General features: G+C 40.7%; 1 protein-coding gene across 56 annotated transcripts in view, besides 1 other annotated feature; it reads right to left on the bottom strand.

Annotated features, from left to right (window-relative positions):
- The window catches only part of SPIDR (scaffold protein involved in DNA repair), a 475,429-nt gene that overhangs the window by 235,164 nt on the left and 214,531 nt on the right, over positions 1-25,734 (bottom strand). The window contains exon 10 of one of the 56 annotated variants that reach the window (NM_001352958.1): positions 17,774-17,808. The exons of 54 other annotated variants lie outside the window; for them this stretch is intronic. The gene's annotated coding sequence lies outside the window, so the exon portion shown is untranslated. Of the gene's footprint in view, positions 1-9,148; positions 9,281-17,773; positions 17,809-25,734 lie in introns of those variants that run through there. One more of the 56 variants, XM_047421651.1, reaches the window with a different exon arrangement.
- Positions 22,794-23,073: an enhancer, noted in NCBI's record as "active region_27326". NCBI's record gives its function as "activates an Ori minimal core promoter by ATAC-STARR-seq in GM12878 lymphoblastoid cells {active_cell/tissue: GM12878}" and the evidence as "EXISTENCE:reporter gene assay evidence [ECO:0000049][PMID:35858748]".

The raw sequence follows: 25,734 nt of genomic DNA, 5'->3' as shown, positions 1-25,734 counted from the left end.
TGGAACCAAAAAAGAGTCCGGATCCCCAAGTCAATCCTAAGCCAAAAGAACAAAGCTGGAAGCATCACGCTACCTGACTTCAAACTATACTACAAGGCCACAGTAACCAAAACAGCATGGTACTGGTACCAAAACAGAGATATAGATCAATGGAACAGAACAGAGACCTCAGAAATAATGCCGCATATCTACAACCATCAGATCTTTGACAAACCTGACAAAAACAAGCAATGGGGAAAGGATTCCCTATTTAATAAATGGTGCTGGGAAAACTGGCTAGCCATATGTAGAAAGCTGAAACTGGATCCCTTCCTTACACCTTATATAAAAATTAATTCAAGATGGATTAAAGACTTACATGTTAGACCTAAAACCATAAAAACCCTAGAAGAAAACCTAGGCAATACCATTCAGGACATAGGCATGGGCAAGGACTTCACATCTAAACCACCAAAAGCAATGGCAACAAAAGCCAAAACTGACAAATGGGATTCAATTAAACTAAAGAGCTTCTGCACGGCAAAAGAAACTACCATCAGAGTGAACAGGCAACCTAAGAATGAGAGAACATTTTTGCAATCTACCCATCTGACAAAGGGCTAATATCCAGAATCTACAATGAACTCAAACAAATTTACAAGAAAAAAACAAACAACCCTATCAACAAGTGGGTGAAGGATATGAACAGACACTTCTCAAAAGAAGACATTTATGCAGCCAAAAGACACATGAAAAAATGCTCATCATCACTGGCCATCAGAGAAATACAAATCAAAACCACAATGAGATACCATCTTACACCAGTTAGAATGGTGATAATTAAAAAGTCAGGAAACAACAGGTGCTGGAGAGGATGTAGAGAAATAGGAACACTTTTACACTGTTGGTGGGACTGTAAACTAGTTCAACCATTGTGGAAGTCAGTGTGGCGATTCCTCAGGGATCTAGAACTAGAAATACCATTTGACCCAGCCAGCCCATTACTCGGTATATACCCAAAGGATTATAAATCATGCTGCTATAAAGACACATGCATATGTATGTTTATTGTGGCACTATTCACAATAGCAAAGACTTGGAACCAACCCAAACGTCCATCAATGATAGACTGGATTAAGAAAATGTGGCACATATACACCATGGAATACTATGCAGCCATAAAAAAGGATGAGTTCATGTCCTTTGTAGGGATATGGATGAAGCTGGAAACCATCAATCTCAGCAAACTATCGCAAGGACAAAAAACCAAACACTGCATGTTCTCACTCATAGGTGAGAACTGAACAATGAGAACACATGGACACAGGAAGGGGAACATCACACACCAGGGCCTGTTGTGGGTGGGGTGGGGGCAGGGTGGAGGGATAGCATTAGGAGATATACCTAATGTTAAATGACGAGTTACTGGGTGTAGCATACCGACATGGCACATGTATACATATGTAACTAACCTGCACGTTGTGCACATGTACCCTAAAACTTAAAAGTATAATAAAAAAAATTATGGCTGTGTTCCTGGAAAAATTTTCCACAGATGGCTAAATGAGTCTAGTAAACAAAATAAAACAACAAAAATCAAGGGTAAAAAAAAAAAAAAAGAAATGCTGCCGTATCATTTGATGGTCTCTACTTCTGAAAGTCATGGTGCTCAATTGTCCACAAGTAGTTCAAATGTTTTAATGAAGCCAAAGTGGTTCTAGAGCCATTCCAGGGATTCAAGTCTGCTTGACAGGAGAGAGCCTGGGGTGGAACTATATTTTAGAGGAAACCCCAAAGCTCTAAGAAACTGTCTGAGCCAACACTGGTGCAAACATACATCCGTCATTTGGATGATACCAGTCTATATTCTAAAAGTCTGACAGTCATAGACTTTGCATGAACTTCTGTCATTAGTTACATGTCAGTGCAGTACAGCCAAGAACCATGCATCAAGCAATGTGTTACGTACTCTTCATATTTTCTCTGCTTAGTATTACCAAAGCAATTTTCCATCAGTCAAGAGGCATTTATTGAGTTCCTCCTGGGCAGACAGCAGTAAAGGCTCACTGATCCACATAAATGGTTTTTATGGTTTCTTTTGCTAAACAGTTAGAATTTCTGATACTGAAAGTTAACTGAAGGAAAACAGAGGTCTTTGCTTCTAGATGGTAATGAAAAACCCTCGTGGTAGTGATTACAAATATTTTCTTAAATGAGCAAAATAGGTACATATTGCGACACTGTTTATTCAGTACGTCATCAAAAAGCTAAATGAAGAAACACTGAATTTGGGATCAAAATGAACCAGCTAAGTAAGGGCACGGCAATTACTCAATATAGATATAAAAGATATTCTTAACATTATGCCTTTCTTTTATAGCAAAGACAATGGAGTATATCATACACTATGGACTGGTTGAACATAAATGCAAACATGTTAGGTCTAAGTTGGTGTGGCAAATGTACAAGTCTTGACCTGATAGATGTGATATTCTCTCCCTTAGGCAGCAAAGGAAAAGCCCAGAAAATAGCACAGAGTATCTAGGATATACCAGCAGTAACAGTCAAAAAAACTTCATCCTGGTCCTATTTTTATAGTCAGAATACAGACAATCTTCCTAGAGACTATCTGGGAAGGTCATAAACACTGAAAGCATTCATTGTAACTCATAACTTAAGCATTGTTTTGTATTACTGCTTTATTTTAAAACAAAAAAGCTATTTTTCAATAATGTTCTGGGTTGCTTTTAAAAATGGTGATTTGATTATTACAGTGTGTTAGATCATAAAAGAGCATATTTAACCTGGGTTGCTTTGATAAAGAAACTGCTGACCTCAGTTATTCAAGATGGAACGTTTGCCAATAAGTGCCTTTGTTGCTCATTACCAGAATGATGCAAAGGAACTTTTAGATCAACTGGCCAACAATGTGCTTCCCTTTGGCCTATCACTGCCAAAACAAGGGAGAGAAAGAGAGACAGAGAGAGAGAGGCATCATCTGTCCTCCAGTCTTATAAGAAAACACACATCGGTCTTTTTCTTTGTTTCAACATTGAAAGTTACAGTTAATTCTTGACATTATGTTTGTATTGATGTTATAGTCAATTCAGAAAAGAAAGCAGTGCTCACCTTGCTTACCCGCTCCTCTTTGGGTACCTCTAAATAACTCTGCTGTGCAAATGCATGCCTTCTTTCAGCAACGAAGCACTGTATGTAACTGCCACAATTCCCTTTGTTAAACTAACATAATGAACAGGCTCTCCACATGAAGACTCTGCCTTAGGTAGTTTCCTTGCTAGCCTGTCTTTAGAGTGATGCCTGACAACAGCTGTCGAAAGACCAGATGGACTGTAGACAGATACTCCAAGCCCTCTAAAACACTATATTTACATGCAATGTCAATTTAAACTAAACCCTTTACCCTTGTAGAACTAATAATTCCATCAAGCCTTACCAAAAAAAATCAAGCAAAATTAAAAGCTATGGTTATGCTAAATGAAAAGTTGTAAAAAGCTTATTCCTTTTAAGTGCACATAGACATTCTCCCAAACAGACCATATGCTCAGTAAATTCAAAATGATGGAAGTCATGCAAGGTATCTTATTTGACCACGGCGAAATGAAATTTGAAATCAACAGCACTAAGAAATTTGGAAAATTCACAAAGATGTGGAACTTAAATGACACACCCCTAAATAACCAATAGGCCAATGAAGCAATCACAGGGACATTAGAAAATACTTTGAGATTAATGAAAAGGAAAATACAACAAAGCACAACTTATGACATCAAGCTAAAGCAGTGCTTAGAAGAGTATTTATATTTGTGAATGACTGTATTAAAAAAGACAGACCTCAAATCAACAAAAACTTTCATCTTAAGAAACCAGAAAAATAAGAAAAAACAAAACCCAAAGCACGCACAGGAAGAAAATAACAAAGATTAAGCAGAAATACATGAAATAGAGAATAGAAAACAATAAAGGAAACCAATGAAACCAAAAGATGGTTGTTTGAAAAGACCAACAAAATCAACAAACTATTAGCTAGGGTGACCAAGAAAAAATGAGAGAAGGCTCAAATTGTGAAAATCAGAATCGAAAGAGAGGAAGCACTACCAAGCTTACAGAAAGCAAAGGGATTCTATAGCACACTAAAAGGAAATAAACTGAGCAACCGTAAGCCAACAAATGAGAAAATGGAAGTAAAATGGACAAACTTCTAGAAAGGCACAAACTCCCAAAACTGACAGGTAGAAATTAAAAATCTGAATAAATCTATTACAAATAAAGAAATTAAGTCAGTAACTTAAAACTTCTGACAAACAAACAAACAAACAAACAAACAAACAAACATAGGCCCAGATAGTTTCAGTGGTGAATTCTACCAAATGTTTAAAGAGAAATTCATAACAATCTTTTACAAACTCAAAAAAAAAAAAAAAAAAGAGTAGGGAATTCATTCTATGAGGTCAATAGTATTACTCTCACACCAAAATAAAAGACATCACAAGAAAATTCCAGACCCATATCTCTTATGAGTATATATGCAAAAACTCTCACAAAATGTGAGCAAACCAAATCCAGCAACACATAAAACGGATTATATACCACAACTAAATGAGATTTATACCACGAATCATAGGTTGCTTTACCACTTGAAACTCAATTAATGTAACAGAATCATCTCACTAAAGAAAAAAAGTGACATAATCATCTAAATAGACACAGAAAAAGCATTTTACTAAATTTAATACATGTTCATGATGAAAACACTCAAGAACTTCAGAAATACAAGACAACTTCCTCAAACTGACAAACAGCATCCACAAAAGCCCTACAACTAACATCAGACTTAATGGTGAATGCTTTCCCTGAACACTTTCCCCCTAAGATCCACAAAAGGACAAAGATGTCTGCTCTGACACTTCTATTCGACATTGTACTAGAGGTTCCAGTCAGGGAAATGAGGCAAGGGGGGAATAAATAAAGGCATCCTGATTGAAAAGCAAGAAGTAAAACTCCCTATTAGCAGATGACGTAATCTTGTATATAATAAAGAATCTTAAAAAAACTGTTATGAGTAATAAATGAGTTTAACAAGTTTATATGATACAAGATCAATATACAAAAATTAATTGTATTTATCTTAAATTTAAATTGTATTTCTATATGATCAGACAATATGAAAATGAAATTAAAAACAAAAATTTCATTTACAATAGTATCAAAAAACACTTGACGGGATGGTACATAGACCTAAAGTCAATAGTGGCATAAGGACAGAAATATAAATCAATGGGAAAGAATTGATCCTTGAACTTACAGTGAATTGATTTTCAACAAGAGTGCCAAGAAAATTGAAGAAGAAGAAAGTTATATTTTCAAAAATGGTGCTAGAACTGGATATTCTCAGGCAAAAGAATGATTTTGAACCCCTTTTTACATCATACACAAAAATTAACTCAAAATAGATTACAGATCTAAAAGGAAGAGCTAAAACTATGAAAGTCTTGAAAGAAAAAATTGGAGCAAATATTTGAAACCTCGGACCAGGCAATGGCTCCTTAGATATGATACCAAAAGGACACGTGACAAAAATAAAAAAATAGATAAGCTGGAATGAAAAGTAGTAGCTAATGGGTACAGGGTTTCTATTCGGGGTAATGAAAACATTCTCATGGTTGTACAACTCTGTGAGTATATAAAAAACCACTTAACTATACATTTTAAAATGAAGAATTGTATACTATGTTAATTATATCTTTTTTTTTTTTTGGGTGGGAGGGGGTAAAGCAGCTCTCATATACCTGTTTTATACATCCTTTTAGATGATACTTGTACCATCTCAGAGGACAAGGAGACAAAGACTGAGGTGAAATTCCCAATGTGCCCACAGTCCCAAGTGATCTGGATACAAGTGAACAAAATATTCATTTAGTAAAAGCCAGCTCAATTCCTGGACATGTGCACTATGCAATAGAAGGGTGCTGTGGTTAAAATGCATGTTCTTGGTGGCAATATTGTTGCCATGTTATTTCAATCAGATTCTTGGTCTATGCAATACACATACAAGATAACAAGATAAGTTTCCAAACAGTAACTTTACAAAAATACTGTCACTGAAATAGAGTTGGTTACAACTCAAAAGACTCACTGGGGTGGCCCTGTCTTATGAATGGAGAACATTACAAAAGTCACCTGTAGCCCTATACCACTTCCCCTTCACTGGGGTGAAAACATAAATAAATCATGCAAATGAACACCCTACTAAAAGATGCATAAATTTTTCATAGATGGATTGAAAAATAAGAAGTATCTCACTTCACTCCTAAGAACTAGCAGGGCAAGCTGAGTGAGAGTGAAAGAAATCCTTAGAGATGGGAAGTCTCCCTTGCTTTCAAGAGGGGAGGAGGAAGGTCTCAATCTCACATCCTAATAGCCATAGTAAAAGCAATACAAAGTGGCATGCCACTTACTAGAAACACTTGTACTTCACAGTTTGTGAAAGACTTTCAGATATATAATCTCATTTGATCCTCACAAAAGCCTTGTAAAATCTAGTATCCTAAGCCGTATTGTTTCTGATCAAATCAGAGACTACATTGTGATTTATAAATCCTGTAAATTCAATCAATATGAAATCTGAAAGTATAAACAAACCGTTCATTCAGTGTAATTTTTAAAATATTTATTTACACTAATATTTATTTCTATTTTCATTGACACTGTATTTGAAAAATGTTATTTCTCAAAAATGAGGTGGGAGGATTGTCTGAGCCTGGGGAGGTCAAGGCTGCAGTGAGCTGTGATGGTGCCACTGTACTCCAGCCTGGGCAACAGAGTGAGACCCTGTCTTTAAAAAAAAAAAAAATTCTAGGCCAGGCATGGTGGCTTACACTTGTAGTCCCAGCTAATTAGGAGGCTGAGGCAGGAGGATTACTTGAGCCCAGGAGTTCAAGACCAGCCTGGGCAACATAGACACCCCCATTTCCATGAAAAATTTAAAAACTAGCCAGGCATGGTGGCACATGGGTGGAGTCCCAGCTACAAAAGAGGCTGAGGCAGGAGGATCGCTTAAGCCCAGGAGTTGGAGGCTGCAGTGAGGTATAACTGTGCCACTGCATTCCAGCCTGGGGAGGTGAGGGGAAGGAGAAAAGAAGGAAGGAGGGAGGGAAGGAGGCAATGAAACCTTCCATAATTTGCTCTCCCCCTTATGCTTTTTGAAGGGAACATAAAATTGTTTTAAAGGGATGCTCTATTTAATAAAAAATAAAGCTTTGTGTTAACTTGGGATGGGGGAAGCGTTTATTCATTCTAGATAGTAAATATCCAGCTCCTAAGGGACCAGAGTCTTACTATAATAATAATATAAAAAACCCAAAACCTTCAAAATCTATCAACTCCTGGATGCAAAAGTATTCTTAAAGAATTGTCACTAGATGGAACATTTTCAAGTCCTATGACAGAACGAGAAAAAACAGTAAGATTTTCTCATCATCTAAGCCCTGCTGCTACCACTCCAGGCTGCTGGGCCTCTCCCAGGCTCCAGACCTCTGCTCTGATCACCAGGACAACAGCAGCCATCAGGGTTTGCAATTCTTCTTTCAGGGTGTTACTGAAAAATAAGTAGGCTTTAAAAATTTAAAAATCTACATTTAACATTTTCATATTTGATCCTGAAGTGTTAAAAAACAAAGCACAATACTTGAAAGACATCCTATTTTTGGAGTCCCACAGCATTAATTTCCTTTCTTAAATGTTTTCTGGAAAATAAATTTTAAAACCTGTTTAATATATTAAAATAATAATGGTATTTGTGGCATTAACTCTGGGTTTCTTATTGGTAGCAGGTTTAACGATAATAACATCAAACCTATATGGAATATATGAGTTTTTCCACAATGTCATTCCAAATTATAACAAATTCTATTACTGGAAATCTGTCCTGTGTATGGCACCATACCATATTCATTGTTTCTGCTCTTAAGGAGCTAGCAGTCTCCAAAGCAGAAAGATAGAACAAACCTATGTATAACCCTTGCATTAGCAGAATATGACAGGTGCTATCTGCGAAGTTCTATTTAAACACACACACACACACACACACACACACACACACACTCACTCTCTCTCTCTCTCTCTCTCTCCAATGGCTCAAACACTAGAGAAAGCCCATCCAGCTGGAAGGTATCAGTAGAGACTTCATTGGGAAGTAGAATTTGAGATGTCTTAAATGAACAGTCAAGATACTCCAGGCACAATGAGGGTGGAAATACCAGGAATATTGAGTTAGTTCATTAATTGGGCCAAAGAATGAATGGCAGAACAACAGAAAATGCACTTGGAGAAGCTGCATGAAGGAAAACTTGTATACTGAGAAGCGGGCTCTAACATACATCTCAAGGAACCATCTAAGATTTCTGAACAGACGAGCAATACGGCCAGACGTATGCTTCCTAAATTTACATAATAGCTGTGACAACACACAAAGGAGGACCAAAAATGGCTTGAGAAAAGAAGGGCCCAGAAGTAGGCAGGTAACCAGCTAAAGGCCATTGCAATGATTCAGAGAAGAGGTAAAAGGGCAGCAGTGAAAATGGAAAAGAAAAGGAACCAAAGAGTCATTCTGGAGGAAGTCTATGACAAGGCACTCATTTGTCACTAATAATTTGGTATTCCATGCTAATCACTGATTTACAATCAGCAGGGTGCAAGAAGTGAATTCATTAGGGCTAAAATGCACCATGGTTTATCTGTTTCTTGGGGATGAGAGACCTGGCTGATTTTCAAAACCAACCCCTCCGTAGAGGAAATGGCCTTTGTGAGAAGCCTGCCTGCTTGCCAGATACTGGTCTTATACCTTGGGAAGAATAAAATTATGTGTAGGTGCAGTCCAGGCCACGTCTGTGTCTGGCAGATGGAAATCAGGGGAGAGTCATACCATGCACTAAAGACATGGTATGTAGGTTGGGAGTTTGCTACTAGAGAACAGCCTGGGCCATTCTTGGCACATCATGTCCACCCAGCTTTTTCACATGTAGCACAGGGAAGGGGTGAATCTGATGCACAGGGGTCTAGTTATGCAGGCTTCTCTTTTCAGGTTGGGGAGTGAGAGACCTGGGCACTATCCACAGGTAGTGTCACATGGTTAACCATAAGACAGCGTCACCTCGTTCCTCCTGTACTGCCTGGCCTTCTGGGGCCTGGCTCCTTCTCACATCATTGTAGGTTGCTGTGTGGTTAGAGACCTCGGCATAGGATCACTGTAAAAACAAAAGGTTCAATATTGGCTGGTTTTCTTTTTCTTTTTTTTAAGAGACAGGGTCTCACTATGTTGCCCAGGCTGGAGTGGAGTGCAGGATCATACTTCACTACAGCCTTGAACTCATGGGCTCAAACTATCTTCCTGCCTCAGCCTCTTGGAGCAGCTGGGACTACAGGTGTACGCCACCATGCCAAGCTAATACTGGGGCCACACCCTTCTGGAACACCAAAGCAGACAGCAGAGAACAGCAACTCTGAACAGCTGCCCCTGGCCCTCAGCACGTTTACTGTATTTGTGTTCTTCTGATCTCTGCACGTAGGTTTGGTGGCTACCTCAGGTAGCTGCTCTGCCTCAACATTTTTTTTTTGAAATTCTTTCAGACTTATAGAAAACATGCCAGATTCATGAACTATATATATATATATATAGTTGTGGTCACTGTGGCTACTGATATTATTATATTGCTGAACCACAGATAATAAACTGCAGATATCATGGCCGTTTAATTCTAAATAGGTCTGGATCTGTTTCTTTTTTTCTTTTAAATAAACAGAATTTTATTTATTGACCGCCTTTAAGAAAAATTCCATATACTGACAGAAACATAAAAATATTTAGTCATTTTTAATTCAATATATATTCTGACAGTGTTTATTCTATTTTTTCAATTTAGGTAAAATTTAGTGAAAACTATTGCTTCAGTAAAAAACTTAAACGACCCATTTATGATTATAATACTGTTTTAACAACTTCTGTATTCATGTTGATTTATTTCTGAATACGTCTTTTTAAAGTTTGAAGTACCACGAAATGTGAGGCATGCTTTTTGTAGTTACAAGTTTTGGCTAAAAATGTTTTTGACACGTGTAGAAAGTCTTTTTCAGTGATTATATTTTATTTTATTATTATACTTTAAGTTCTAGGGTACACGTACACAACGTGCAGGTTTGTTACATATGTATACATGTGCCACATTGGTGTGCTGCACCCATTCACCGTCATTTACATTAGGTATATCTCATAATGCTATCCCTCCCCTCTCCCCGCACCCTAGCACAGGCCCTGGTATGTGATGTTCCCCTTCCTGTGTCCAAGTGTTCTCATTTTCCAATTCTCACCTATGAGTGAGAACATGTGGTGTTTGGTTTTTTGTCCTTGCGATAGTTTGCTGAGAATGATGGTTTCCAGCTTCACCCATGTCCCTACAAAGGACATGAACTCATCCTTTTTTATGGCTACATAGTATTCCATGGTGTATATGTGCCACATTTTCTTAATCCAGTCTATCATTGTTGGACATTTGGGTTGGTTCCAAGTCTTTGCTACTGTGAATAGTGCCACAATAAACGTACATGTGCATGTGTCTTTACAGCAGCATGATTCATAATCCTTTCGGTATATACCCAGTAATGGGATGGCTGGGTCAAATGGTATTTCTAGTTCTAGATCCTTGAGGAATCGCCACACTGTCTTCCACAATGGTTGAACCAGTTTAGTCCCACCAACACTGTAAAAGTGTTCCTGTTTCTCCACATCCTCTCCAGCACCTGTTGTTTCCTGACTTTTTAATGATCGCCATTCTAACTGGTGTGACATGGTATCTCATTGTGGTTTTGATTTGCATTTCTCTGATGGCCAGTGATGATGAGCAATTTTTCATGTGTCTGTTGACTGCATAAATGTCTTCCCCTGCAAAGTGTCTATTCATATCCTTCGCCCACTTTTTGATGGGGTTGTTTTTTCCTGTAAATTTGTTTGAGTTCTTTGTAGATTCTGGATATTAGCCCTTTTTCAGATGAGTAGATTGCAAAAATGTTCTCCCATTCTGTAGGTTGCCTGTTCACTCTGATGGTAGTTTCTTTTGCTGTGCAGAAGCTCTTTAGTTTAATTAGACCCCATTTGTCAATTTTGGCTTTTGTTGCCATTGCTTTGGGTGTTTTAGTCATGGAGTCCTTGCCCATGCCTATGTCCTGAATGGTATTGCCTAGGTTTTCTTCTAGGGTTTTTATGGTTTTAGGTCTAACATTTAAGTCTTTAATCCATCTTGAATTAATTGGTGTATAAGGTGTAAGGAAGGGATCCAGTTTCAGCTTTCTACATATGGCTAGCCAGTTTTCCCAGCACCATTTATTAAATAGGGAATCCTTTCCCCATTGCTTGTTTTTGTCAGGTTTGCCAAAGATCAGATGGTTGTAGATGTGTGGTATTATTTCTGACGGCTCTGTTCTGTTCCATTGGTCTGTATCTCTGTTTTGGTACCAGTACCATGCTGTTTTGGTTACTGTAGCCTTGTAGTATAGTTTAAAGTCAAATAGTGTGATGCTTCCAGCTTTGTTCTTTTGGCTTAAGATTGTCTTGGCAATGTGGCTCTTTTTTGGTTCCATAGGAACTTTAAAGAATTTTTTTCCAATTCTGTGAAGAAAGTCATTGGTAGCTTGATGGGGATGGCACTGAATCTATAAATTACCTTGGGCAGTATGGCCATTTTCCCAATATTGATTCTTCCTATCCACGAGGATGGAATGTTCTTCCATTTGTTTGTGTCCTCTTTTATTTCATTGAGCAGTGGTTTGTAGTTCTCCTTGAAGAGGTCCTTCACATCCCTTGTAAGTTGGATTCCCAGGTATTTTATTCTTTTTGAAGCAACTGTGAATGGGAGTTCACTCATGATTTGGCTCTCTGTTTGTCTGTTATTGGTGTATAAGAATGCTTGTGATTTTTGCACATTGATTTTGTATCTTGAGACTTTGCTGAAGTTGCTTATCAGCTTAAGGAGATTTTGGGGTGAGACGATGGGGTTTTCTAAATATACAATCATGTCATCTGCAAACAGGGACAATTTGACTTCCTCTTTTCCTAATTGAATACCCTTTATTTCTTTCTCCTGCCTGACTGCCCTGGCCAGAACTTCCAACACTATGTTGAATAGGAGTGGTGAGAGAGGGCATCCCTGTCTTGTGCGAGTTTTCAAAGGGAATGCTTCCAGTTTTTGCCCATTCAGTATGATATTGGCTGTGGGTTTGTCATAGATAGCTCTTATTATTTTGAGATACGTCCCATCAATACCTAATTTATTGAGAGTTTTTAGCATGAAGGGCTGTTGAATTTTGTCAAAGGTCTTTTCTGCATCTATTAAGATAATCATGTGGTTTTTGTCTTTGGTTCCGTTTATATGCTGGATTACATTTATTGATTTGCGTATGTTGAACCTGCCTTGCATCCCCGGGATGAAGCCCACTTGATCATGGTGGATAAGCTTTTTGATGGGCTGCTGCATTCGGTTTGCCAGTATTTTACTGAGGATTTTTGAATCAATGTTCATCAGGGATATTGGTCTAAAATTGTCTTTTTTTGTGTGTCTCTGCCAGGCTTTGGTATCAGGATGATACTGGTCTCATAAAATAAGTTAAGGAGGATTCCCTCTTTTTCTGTTGATTGGAATAGTTTCAGAAGGAATGGTACCAGCTCCTCCTTGTACCTCTGGTAGAATTCAGCTGTGAATCCTTCTGGTCATGGACTTTCTTTGGTTGGTAGGCTATTAATTATTGCCTCAATTTCAGAGCCTGTTATTGGTCTATTCAGGCATTCAACTTCTTCCTGGTTTAGTCTTGGAAGGGTGTATGTGTCCAGGAATTTATCCATTTCTTCTAGATTTTCTAGTTTATTTGCGTAGAGGTGTTTATAGTATTCTCTGATGGTAGTTTGCATTTCTGTGGGACCGGTGGTGATATCCCCTTTATCATTTTTTATTGTGTCTATCTGATTCTTCTCTCTTTTCTTATTAGGTCTTGCTAGTGGTCTATCAATTTGTTGATCCTTTCAAAAAACCAGCTCGTGGATTCATTGATTTTTTGAAGGGTTTTTTGTGTCTCTGTCTTCTTCAGTTCTGCTCTGATCTTAGTTATTTCTTGCCTTCTGCTAGCTTTTGAATGTGTTCGCTCTTGCTTATCTAGTTCTTTTAATTGTGATGTTAGGGTGTCAATTTTAGATCTTTCCTGCTTTCTCTTGTGGGCATTTAGTGCGATAAATTTCCCTCTACACACTGCTTTGAATGTGTCCCAGAGATTCTGGCATGTTGTGTCTTTGTTCTCGTTGGTTTCAAAGAACATCTTTATTTCAGCCTTCATTTCGTTATGTACCCAGTAGTCATTCAGGAGCACGTTGTGCAGTTTCCATGTAGTTGAGTGGTTTTGAGTGAGTTTCTTAATCCTGAGTTCTAGTTTGAGTGCACTGTGGTCTGAGAGACAGTTTGTTATAATTTCTGTTCTTATACATTTGCTGAGGAGTGCTTTACTTCCAACTATGTGGTCAATTTTGGAGTAAGTACGAAGTGGTGCTGGGAAGAATGTATATTCTGTTGATTTTGGGTGGAGAGTTCTGTAGATGTCTATTAGGTCCTCTAGGTGCAGAGCTGAGTTCAATTCCTGGATATCCTTTTTAACTTTCTGTCTCGTTGATCTGTCTAATGTTGACAGTGGGGTGTTAAAGTCTCCCATTATTATTGTGTGGGAGTCTAAGTCTCTTTGTAGGTCTCTAAGGACTTGCTTTATGAGTCTGGGTGCTCCTGTACTGGGTGCATATATATTTAGGTTAGTTAGCTCTTCTTGTTGAATTGATCCCTTCACCATTATGTAATGGCCAACTTTGTCTCTTTTCATCTTTGTTGGTTTAAAGTCTGTTTCATGAGAGACTAGGATTGCAACCCCTTTTTGTTTTGTTTTGTTTTCCATTTGCTTGGTAGATCTTCCTCCATCCCTTTGTTTTGAGCCTATGTGTGTCTCTGCACATCAGATGGGTCTCCTGAATACAGCACACTGATGGATCTTCACTGTTTATCCAATTTGCCAGTCTGTGTCTTTTAATTGGAGCATTTAGCCCATTTACATTTAAGGTTAATATTGTTATATGTGAATTTGATCCTGTCATTATGATGTTAGCTGGTTATTTTGCTCGTTAGTTAATGCAGTTTCTTCCTAGCATTGATGGTCTTTACAATTTGGCATGTTTTTGCAGTGGCTGCTACCAGTTGTTCCTTTCCGCGTTTAGTGCTTCCTTCAGGAGCTCTTTTAGGGCAGGCCTGGTGGTGACAAAATCTCTCAGCATTTGCTTGTCTGTAAAGGATTTTATTTCTCCTTCACTTATGAAGCGTAGTTTGGCTGGATATGAAATTCTGGGTTGAAAATTCTTTTCTTTAAGAATGTTGAATATCGGCCCCCACTCTCTTCTGGCTTGCGGAGTGTCTGCCGAGAGATCCGCTGTTAGTCTGATGGGCTTCCCTTTGTGGGTAACCCGACCTTTCTCTCTGGGTGCTCTTAACATTTTTTCCTCCATTTCAACCTTGGTGAATGTGACAATTATGTGTCTTGGAGTTGCTCTTCTCGAGGAGTATCTTTGTGGCGTTCTCTATTTCCTGAATTTGAATGTTGGTCTGCCTCACTAGGTTGGGGAAGTTCTCCTGGATAATATCCGCAGAGTGTTTTCCAGGTTGGTTCCATTCTCCCCGTCACTTTCAGGTACACCAATCAGACGTAGATTTGGTCTTTTCACATAGTCCCATATTTCTTGGAGGCTTTGTTTGCTTCTTTTTGCTCTTTTTTCTCTAAACTTCTTTTGTTGCTTCATTTCATTCATTTGATCTCCAGTCTCTGATACCTTTTCTTTCAGTTGATCAAATAGGCTTCTGAAGCTTGTGCATTTGTCACATAGTTCTTGTGCCGTGGTTTTCAGCTCAATCAGGTCATTTAAGGACTTCTCTACACTGGTTATTCTAGTTAGCCATTCGTCTAATCTTTTTTCAAGGTTTTTAGCTGCTTTGCGATGGGTTCAAACTTCTTCCTTTAGCTCAGAGAAGTTTGATCATCTGAAGCCTTCATCTCTCAACTCGTCAAAGTCGTCATTCTCTGTCCAGCTTTGTTCCGTTGCTGGCGAGGAGCTGCATTCCTTTAGAGGGGGACAGGCGCTCTGATTTGTAGAATTTTCAGCTTTTCTGCTCTGTTTTTTCCCCATCTTTGTGGCTGTATCTACCTTTGGTCTTTGATGATGATGATGTATAGATGGGGTTTTGGTGTGGATGTCCTTGCTGTTTGTTAGTTTTCCTTGTAACAGGACCCTCTGCTGCAGGTCTGTTGGAGTTTGCTGGAGGTCCACTCCAGACCCTGTTTGCCTGGGTATCAGCAGCGGAGGCTGCAGAACAGACAATATTGCAGAACGGCAAATGCTGCTGCCTGATCGTTCCTCTGGAAGCTTTGTCTCAGAGGGGTGAAGTGTCAGGTGTTAGGTGTCAGTCTCCCCCTACTGGGGGGTGCCTCCCAGTTAGGCTACTCGGGGGTCAAGGACCCACTTGAGGAGGCAGTCTGTCCGTTCTCAGATCTCAGACTCTGTGCTGGGAGAACCACTGCTCTCTCGAAGCTGTCAGACAGGGACATTTAAGTCTGCAGAGGTTTCTGCTGCCTTTTGTTTGGCTATGCCCTGCCCGCAGAGGTGGAGTTTACAGAGGCAGGCAAGCCTCCTTGAGCTGTCGTGGGCTCCACCCAGTTCGAGCTTCCTGGCTGCTTTGTTTACCTACTCAAGCCTCAGCAATGGCAGGCGCCCCTCCCCCAGCCTCGCTGCCGCCTTGCAGTTTGATCTCAGACTGTACTAGCTGTATTAGCAATGAGCGAGGCTCCGTGCGCGTGGGACCCTCCGAGCCTTGCACGGGATATAATCTCCTGGTGTGCCATTTGCTAAGACCATTGGAAAACCACTGTGTTAGGGTGGGAGTGACCCGATTTTCCAGGCGTCGTCTATCACAGCTTCCCTTGGCTAGGAAAGGGAATTCCCTGACCCCTTGCACTTCCCGGGTGAGGCCATGCCTCGCCCTGCTTCAGCTCACGCTTGGTGGGCTGCACCCACTGTCCTGTACCCAGTGTCCGACAAGCCCAAGTGAGATGAACCCGGAACCTCAGTTGGAAATGCAGATATCACCCATCTTCTGTGTCGCTTATGCTGGGAGCTGTAGACTGGAGCTGTTCCTATTCAGCTGTCTTGGAACTGCCGTCCGGGTCTGGATCTGTTTCTAAGAACACAGCCATTCCCTTTGAACGCCACAATGTGGTAAACACATTCAGGAAATGTGACATTGATACAATACTGTAATCCAAGACGCAATCCATGTTCAAATATTACTACTGGTCCCAATGATGTCTTTTATAACAATTCTTTTCTAATCCAGGATCACAATTGTGTCTGGTATCAGCTTTTTGATGCCTGGTTTTTACTGTTGCTTTTATATGCCCAGAACTACGAGACCATCTCCCCCAAATACACCCATCTGCAGTAACTGAGCCTCAGGAAACCTAACAGCATGAGCCACTGCATGAGGAGGATAAGGGACCAGTGTCACTGTGCCTCTGCCACCATGTTCTGCTCTGGAGGATGGATTTACCTTCAAGGAGGTGCTGCATACAGGACTATGAGGTTCACCAGGACCTCAGGAGGAGGACCTGGCCCAGGACAGCTGAGCCCACCCTAGGTGAGATGGCCCACCTTGTTAGGCTTTACCAACAAATTCACAGCAGATGCGAAGAGCAGTGGGATCTGCTCTCAAAGGGTTGATATGTATAAAGCCCTTAAAAGACAAGTGAACGCTCATCAAAAGTTACTATTTTCATTGCTATGATTGCTTCTATTGGGTTCCTGACTTTGGTGAAGAAAATTACACCTGCAACTTCCCTTCACTCATTCCGCACTTTATTAAGTGACTTCTTTCGGTGAGGTCACGTGTCAAGCACTTGGTCTATCTTCGCTTGTGGAGAATACTCCTACAACCCCAGCTATGGAAACCTGAGAACCCGTTCAATCAAATTACTCTGGAAATAGACAATCATAGAAATCGTTTGCTAACTTGATAAAGATGCATCGACATTTTTTTTTTTTTAACACGAAGCTGTACTTGGTAATTTTCCAGGTTTCAAGTTGGGTATCAAAATTCTCTTTTGAGAGCTTTCTCTAGTAAAACTGGAACTCCACCCCATCCTCTCTCATACTCGCTTCTAAGAATGCACAGGAGCCACTTCACTCAAGTAGCTAGAATCCAATGACACATACCACAGAGGTGACCAAGGTTTTCAGATCACAACCATAATGAACCTGAAAGTCTATACAGCTGGGACTGCTGATTTTACTCTGGGCCACAGATCCCCATGACAATCAAATATAAAGGGATCTTCTCCCTAGAAAAAAGAGCATACATTAACCTTCACAGAATCCCTATCCCAGAGTTAAGAGAATGATACTGTTCATCAATTCCTTTGTCTTGTCTTTGGAGTTCAGCTTCTTAGTCACCTCCCTCAGAGATAATCTGTGCAACTACCTATCCTAAACGGGCCATCCATTCCTCTACACTGACTACTTTTGGGAATACAGTCACCTCAAAGGGGCAGCAGAGGGAAATGACTTGGTGCTACAGGGAGTATCTCTTCAGGGCTTATTAGAACCAAGAAAGGCATTTATCCTGCCCTGTTTGGGGTGTGGACAGACTGCGTATCTTACCTCTTGGGCTGCCATTTTCTATTAATTCTTTTTGCCTGGCAGGAAATAAAAAAGTTGATATAAGCTGGATGGCTGTAAAGATTTTTAACAGACAAAAACAAACAAGGCTTACTTTAAAATAAGTAATTATCCCAAGATAAAAGAATAAAAGAAAGTTTTAAAAAGACAACCCCAAGCGTAAAATAAAAGACACACACACAAACAAAACAAAACAAAACAAAACAAAACAAACAAAAAAAAACCAAGTAGCTATGACTCTCTGAATGGGAAAGAGCACGGTCTCTATAGCTGGGTCAGCAAGAATAGGAAAGCCCAGACCTGTCCCCTGACTCTGGGCACCACCCACTGTGGAGGGGCAGAGGGGCGGCCTTTCCTTGGGGAGGGGGCAGCCAGCAAGTGGGAATTTTACAGGGTCAGGATTGAGTAAGGAAAGGAGTAGAAACACTTCTTAAAAACACAGCTGCTGAGATCGCACCACTGCACTCCAGCTTGGGCGACAGTGCGAGACTCTGTCTCAAACAAAACAAAACAAAACAAAAAAAAACAAAACACAGCTGCCCATGAGGACTCAGGTGGGGAGGGGGCATCAAACCCACAATAGAAAGGTCAGAGGAATCAGGAGCTGCGCCCTCCTCCCTCATATCTTGCCAACTTCTTTTCAGGAAGCATCTCTGAAGTCTATGCCTGGGCTCAGTGCATAGACTGGAGCCCTATAGAAACCTCTCTCCAAACACTTTTCACCTGCAGTTGCCTCGCTTGTCATTTCTCCCCTTCACTAGGTAGTAGGATGAGGAAAAGATCTGTGCCCCAGCACCTACAGCCTCAGAGAACATCTGCTCCATCAGTATCTGCTGGCCCTGCACATGAGAATGCAAGCAAAGGCATCAGCTAGAGATGGTCTCATCTAGGAGACGAAGTCATGAGACTTTTTTTTTTGAGACAGGGCCTCGCTCTGTAGCCCAGGCTGGAATGCAGTGGCACATCTGAGCTCACTGAAACCTCCAGCTCCCGGGCTCAGGTGATCTTCCCACCTCAGCCTCCTGAGTAGCTGGGACTATAGGCACACCCCACTATGCTCGGCTCAGCCTCCCAAAGTGCTGGGATTAGGTCAGAAATGGAAAGATGTATATGAGATTGAGGAATCCCAAAGGGTACAAAAAATAGGAATGAATATGCGTTTGAGAGAAGATTTCAAAGCATAGAGGTAAACACTGAGGGTGGAACTGCTCATGACAATATCAGCAACAGAAGGGAAGTACGTACTTCAGGTACAAATACCCACTGACCACGCTCAACATGTGCTGTATATAACCTGTAAACTGAGTCCTCACATGAAAACTGACAGATGCTAAGACATGAAGAACCATGCCAAAATGTGTTATTTACTCCAAATAGAACAATACATGAAAAATGTTGGCTTTAGTCTACATTAAAAGTGATATTATCAACTATTTGCAATTGAAGGCAGATCACTACCTTACCTAAAATGCAGCTGAATATTTTAAGAACAAAGGGCAGAGACTAAGAACTCCACTATCTCCAGAGAGTTCCCTTCAATGACTTCAAGTGGTCCTTTCTAGTCTTTTTTAAAACTCAATTATGTAGAGTCAACCTTGTCAATCATATAATCAGCTTGGTCACTCACATGGGCTGGTCTCCCACAATTGTTTTCCTACCTCCAAGTTCTTTTTTTTCCTTTGTATTCATTCTGTCCATAGTCATTAAATACACATTGAACACAAACACTGAAGTGGCCAGAAATACAGTGGTAAGCAAAACAGGCAGTGCCCTGATGGAGCCTCCCAGGTTCAGGCGATTCTCCTGCCTCAGACTCCAGAGTAGCTGGGATTACAGGCATGTGCCACCCTGCCTTGCTAATTTTTCTATCTTTTTTTAGTAGAGACGGAGTTTCTCCATGTTGGCCAGGCTGGTCTCGAACTCCTGGCCTCAAGTGATCTGCCCACCTCGGCCTCCCAATGTGCTGGAATTACAGGCATGAGCCAACGCATCTGGCCAACCATCAATCTTGGAACTTAGAGCTGCATTACAACTCTCAGTTTTTCACTTAACATTATATATACAAATGTCCAATTATATATCTCTTTCCCCAGATCTCTCTCATACAATACAAAACCTAAACAGAATGTAATGACGAGAAAAGACCATTACACCTTATAGCAGTCATAACACTGTGATAGTGACCAAGAAGTCAGTCAGAAGACAGCAGCACCTCACATATATTCAACAGTAACATCACAAAGATAGCATTAGAGCGGTGATTCCTGTGCTGTCTTTCAAGAAAGAGCCTTCACCTTTTCTGCCATTACCACCATCACTATTCAACAATCTCATCATGGCAGCTGGCTTTGCCAATTATCTTGAACTAACTTTTCAATGTCTCTTTTTGCTTTCATAACAAAGAGTGGTTGCTTTTATCAACATTCCATAAGGTCCAGCAAGGTTAATAAAATTACCATTAAAGCCTCTGAAGTTTGTACAATGACAAATCAAACCCATTCCCAATGTAGGGCTTAATCATTATAAAGGAATGAAGAAACCTCTCATAGGGCCTCAGGAATAGATGCTGAGACCCTTCCTGCTCACTTGGCTCATCTGGACAGGAAGGAGAAGATGCTGTGCCTTTTCCAGACTCTCAGCTGTGCCTCATATAAACTCTGAAATCCAAGTCAGGCCACATGGGAGCACACAGGCTGTGCGCCGATCCCTGAGAGCAGCGAGAACACTTGATCCCAGATTGTACACTTTCAGTTTATATGAACGAAGCTGTTCACCATTCTGACATTTGACGTCATCCACCAACTACCCACTAACACTATCTATTAGTGCAGAATGCTTGGAATTTCCTCATTTTTAAGAGCTGGAAAGTTTCAAGTACAGACCTTACATTTTAACAAAATAGTACATGCTATTACTTTCAGGGATTTAGGACCTTTCCTCCTGGATTACTCAATTAGGACATACTCATCTAATCAAATACTTAACCCACACATTAAGAGACAAACATGTTTGTATCTAAGATATAGCTTTTAAACAATTCCATGAACACTGTAGGGTAACATTTTAAATCAGGTAACTGCTTAATTGCTTTCCTCCTAATCTTCTACTTTAGACATTAAATCCATCTTGCCTTTTCTTTATATTCACCTCTAAATCTTCAGTGCCCAGCACAGTATTCAACTGTGGCCAGGCTGGTCTCGAACTTAGGCAGGCTCTCATGAGTAGTGGATGGATACATTTTTCTTCATTAGGTAGACTTTAAACAGGAAAATACTGGTAAAATAGGTGAAGAAGTTCTCCAAGATATTATTTTACTTTTTCTTTCACCCTGAGCCTCAAATGAGATGAATTCACCTTTTTTGGCTGGTGGTCAAATCTTTTTACTGTGATTCATTTAAAGCTCAAAACATCATGAGGCACAAACTAAGAGAAACTGGATGCTAAACACTGAAGAAGCTATTGTAGTTCTCACAGCACTATGGACTTGAACTGTTAGTGTTCCTAGCTGCTGTTCAGTTCTTGGGCACAAGCTATTCTGCTTTCTAAAACTGATAAGCCTTACTTCCCCAAACTTACAGTTCTATTAGTCTACAAGAACTTTCCACTAGAATGTGTAGCAAATTCCTTTCTGACAAGTTGCCCTGAGCCCCTCCCTTCCTGGTCTGAAAAGAGCAGGCTGGCTTCAGGCCACTCCCCAGCCCCTGCTCATGGCTGCTTTACCACCTGAAGGAGAACCTCAGCCACAGGATCAGGTGCAGCTCTCCCTGCATTCCCCCCTACTGCCCCACTTTACTTGGGGAGTGGAATTCCGCTGTGGGCTGTGCTGCTAAGCTCACCACAGGAGCCTGTTTATGACCTTGAGACAGAAGTTGTACCTGCTATGGGAGTCAGAGCAGGGGAAACCTTCTCTTATAAGATACTTTCCAGCAAAGTAAGACAGAATTGTGCTCCACATGTCTTTCTTTTCTTTCCTTTCTTTCTTTTTTTTTTTTTTTGAGAGAGTCTCACTCTGTTGCCCAGGCTGGAGTGCACTGGTGCAATCTCGGCTCACTGCAGCCTCCGCCTCCCAGGTTCAAGCAATTCTCCTGCTTCAGCCTCCTGAGTAGCTGGGATTACAGGCGCCCACCACCACTCCAGCTAATTTTCTGTATTTTTAGTAGAGACAGGGTTTTACCATGTTGGCCAGGCTGATCTCGAACTCCTGGCCTCAAGTGATCTGCCTGCCTCAGTCTCTCAGTGTTGGAATTACAGGCGTGAGCCACTGCACCCCGCCCCACATCCCTTTCTTTAAATTTTTTTTTTCACTGATTTTATATCACTTTTGGATGAGATGAATACCTTCCTAACCAAAACAAAGAACAAATGGAAAAAAACAACTCAAAAGCAAATCATGTATTATTACAACAAGCTAAGAACGGCTTGGATGAGTAAGTGCCTCTGCTAATTAAACACGGCTTCCAATTAATTCCTCAGAAATCAAAGTTATCTTCTGTGGTGAATATTTCCCTACATTCAACAGGTTTAGAGCTATAATTGTAGGTAAAGCATTCAGTTACACACTTCATAGCCAATTTAGGAAGGTCCACCTGATGTCTCACAGCAATTACACTTTATGAGCATTTTACTGGGATCTCCTTTTTGATGGAGAGATGAGTATCTGTGAACACTGAGAAATGCTGCCACTTTTTGGAGAAGAATCTTGAAGACTTAAACCACAGTGACTGTGTGTTCATATGAACCCAAACTGTCCTTGCTAGGATGAATGTGGCTCTGCAGCAGGGGCTCCCCAGTGCTGTGTTCCGGCACATGCTGATCTTAGGCTCCTCACTTTCTGCAACCTCAGCTGACTTTTAAAGCAGTTAGTTCATCTGCACTCAACCAAGAAATGAAACATAACCGAGGTCTGTCCTTCCTGCTTCTTCTGTCTCTGTGAAGGTGCCACCATCTCCCAGTCATGGCAGCCTAAAACTTCCAAGATGAAACTGTCACGCACAACCCCAATCCTCATCCTTGGCACTCTCAGAAGTCTGTCCCTTCTTGCTGCTGGTTAATCCTCCCCACCACGCTGTCACCACCCCGCTGGTTGCTCCTCCTCTCACTGCTTTTTGCTTCCTCAGAGGTGTGTTTGTCGTCAGGCTGGATGCCCAGCCCACCCTCAATTCATTCTTCACATTATTTCTGTCGGGTTTTCTAAAACACAGACCTGATGCGTGTCCTCTGGTACTCCTTGTGCCTTCCATACTGCATCTTTTCCTCACACGAAGTGTCAGCCCTTCACGCCCTGGGTGCTGCTAGCACTCTAGCTTCAACCTTCAACTCTAGCTTCAACCATACCACTTCCCCTTCACATGTTCCACTTGGGCAAGTTACCCTGCCCCTTGCTGCCCCTAATCCTGCAGCCAGCCCCTCCAATTCCTCCTTCCCAGCTAAGCGCAGCTGTCTTTCCTGGGGGTGCCTCCCCTAGGGCTCTGCCTCCCCATGCTCCCCTCTGAGCCCTGGCAGGCTCCCCCTGCACCCTGTGTGGCAACTGTCTACTTACAGGATGGTCATTTCTACCAAGACCCTGAAATGGCTGCATCCTCAGCACTCCACACTAAAGATATTCACTGAATGAAACAAAGGATGAAAGTATGCCAGCAGTATAACTTTAAACTCACTGCCACTTTAATACTTATTGAGGGACAATCTGCAAGAAGCCATCATTTATTGAGCAGTAGCTTAAAAGTTTGGCTCTTTTACTCTCTCCTCTAGATAGCTTAAGGAATATTCCAGGACTAGATTTCTAAAATTACCTCTACTATATGAAATATTACAAATTACTATGAATGATAAAATAGTTAAAATTAATTGAGCATTGGCCAGGTACAGTGGCTCACGCCTGTAATCTCAGCACTTTGGGAGGCCAAGGCAGGCAGATCACTTGAGGCCAGGAGTTCAAGACCAGCCTGGGCAACATGGCAAAACTCTGTCTCTACAAAATACAAAAATTAGCTGGGCGTGGTCGCCAAGCGCCTGTAATCCCAGTTACTCAGGGGGCTGAGGAAGAACTGCTTGGACCCTGGAGGCAGAGGTTGCAGTGAGCTGAGATAGCACCACTGCACTCCAACCTGGGCAACAGAGCGAGACTCTGTCTCAAAAAAAAAAAATATATTGCGCATCTTCTATATACAGACTCTGGTACCAGACTCCACGTTTCATTAAGTGTTTCATAGGCCCTGAAGTGTTTTTAATCTCCATTTTACTCATTAGGAAACTATGCTCAGAGATGCTTAAAACTTTCCCATGATAAGAGGGCCAATAAATACTACAGAATATACAATTTCACTGAGCTGTTACTCTGGCAGCTTGTACTAACAGATATTAACAGAAATTGTTCTCATTTAAACAGGTTATATTTGTTCTCCTGTATTATTTTATTTCTGTATTATAGCTTCCTCCTCATAAGGAAATTTTTCTAAGGTGTCACTACCAGATATTGCTGTTTTTCTTGTTAACAGATCTGTTTTTGGGCAGAGCCCTGAGCCTTGGTGTTGACCGAGTCTCCTACTTTAACGCAGCCTGCTGCTTCTCTTGCATACAGATTTGTGCATTCTGTGAATCCTGGTATTTTTCTAAGCCAATTAAAATCAATTTTTAAACAAGATAGGATGAAAAATAAACAAGCAAATAAATGAGAACTGGTGACTTAGACACACCCTTAGTTCGGTGAAGAATCAGAAGGACTGGGTTGGGGTGGTCCAGGCAGGGGTGAAGGGAGTCTCGGAGGTGGTGAGGTGAGAAAGGGGCAAGGTGTGTCTCAGGAGGAACAGAAGGCCACCTGCGGGGAACTGTGTGACTCACAATGGCACGACTGTGTCTTGCAACTTAACTGCAATCAAACTGGACTATCATTTATTGAACTGCTGCTGCTTATTGGCCGCATGCTGGGTGCTTTCACATGGTATTTTCATATCTCCTCATCACCCTAATGAAGTAGCTGTAAATGCTGTGTCACAGCTGTGGAAAAGGGAATTCGTGGCAATCAAGGAGCCTGTCCAATCTCGATCACAAACTCAAGAGCCATCACTCCAATGCCAGTGCTCTTATAACTCTGCCCTCCAGTAGCTGAACCCTGTTATTTCATGGCAGTCCCCTGGAGCGTAGACACAACAGACCATCCGTCAAGCAATGCCTAAACTCACAGCTCCAAGAACACTGTCACACTTCGACACTGTAACACAATGGCTACCCAACTTAATGAATACACAAAAGCTTTAACTTTTGTGTTACAATGGCTACCCTTAAATTGGTCCTGCCTGATATTCACACATCACAGAAGGCTAGAAACAATTTCTGTAAGAAAAACCTCAAAGAGGTAAATCTAACAACTGTATTTCCTCTTAAATGATCTATAAACATTTCTTAAATGCTATGTCTTTTATTAAAAAGAAACCAATAACCAAAAAAATAGACTTTTCTTTTTCCAGTTATAATATTGTATCAAACCTCCCACAACTCTTCCACTGCTAAATTTGACTGGCTTTACAAAAAGGGGTGCGGGGGGCGGATACTGTATTGGTTTAGATAAAGAAACCTTAACCATTTACTTCTTATCTTTTTGGATCATTTTATATGTGTCTTCTTGGCTCTAGTACCAATACACTTATTATTTCCTCTCCTCAGCACTGCATTCTCCAAGTGACATAAAAGGCAAGAAACATGTAGCCTTTTATTATAATTTTTCTTTCACAGAAAAGAGTTACATTCAAATGCTTAGGTACATACAAGGCTACCCATTACCTAAAGATTATCAAAGTGATATTTTACTTGCAATTTTATTGTAATAGAAATTACTCTTTAAGTTAGTGCATGGCTTTAAAGATCACTGCATGATCTTCGGATTATTTTAATTACAAAATAATGGTCTGACACACAACTATTCCTCAGTATCTGTTTCTTTACAT

The sequence above is a fragment of the Homo sapiens genome, chromosome 8, assembly GCF_000001405.40.
Source record: "Homo sapiens chromosome 8, GRCh38.p14 Primary Assembly".
Lineage (NCBI taxonomy): Eukaryota > Metazoa > Chordata > Mammalia > Primates > Hominidae > Homo > Homo sapiens.
The sequence above is the reverse complement of the archived record's forward strand: the minus strand, read 5'-3'. Positions and strand labels throughout refer to the sequence as shown.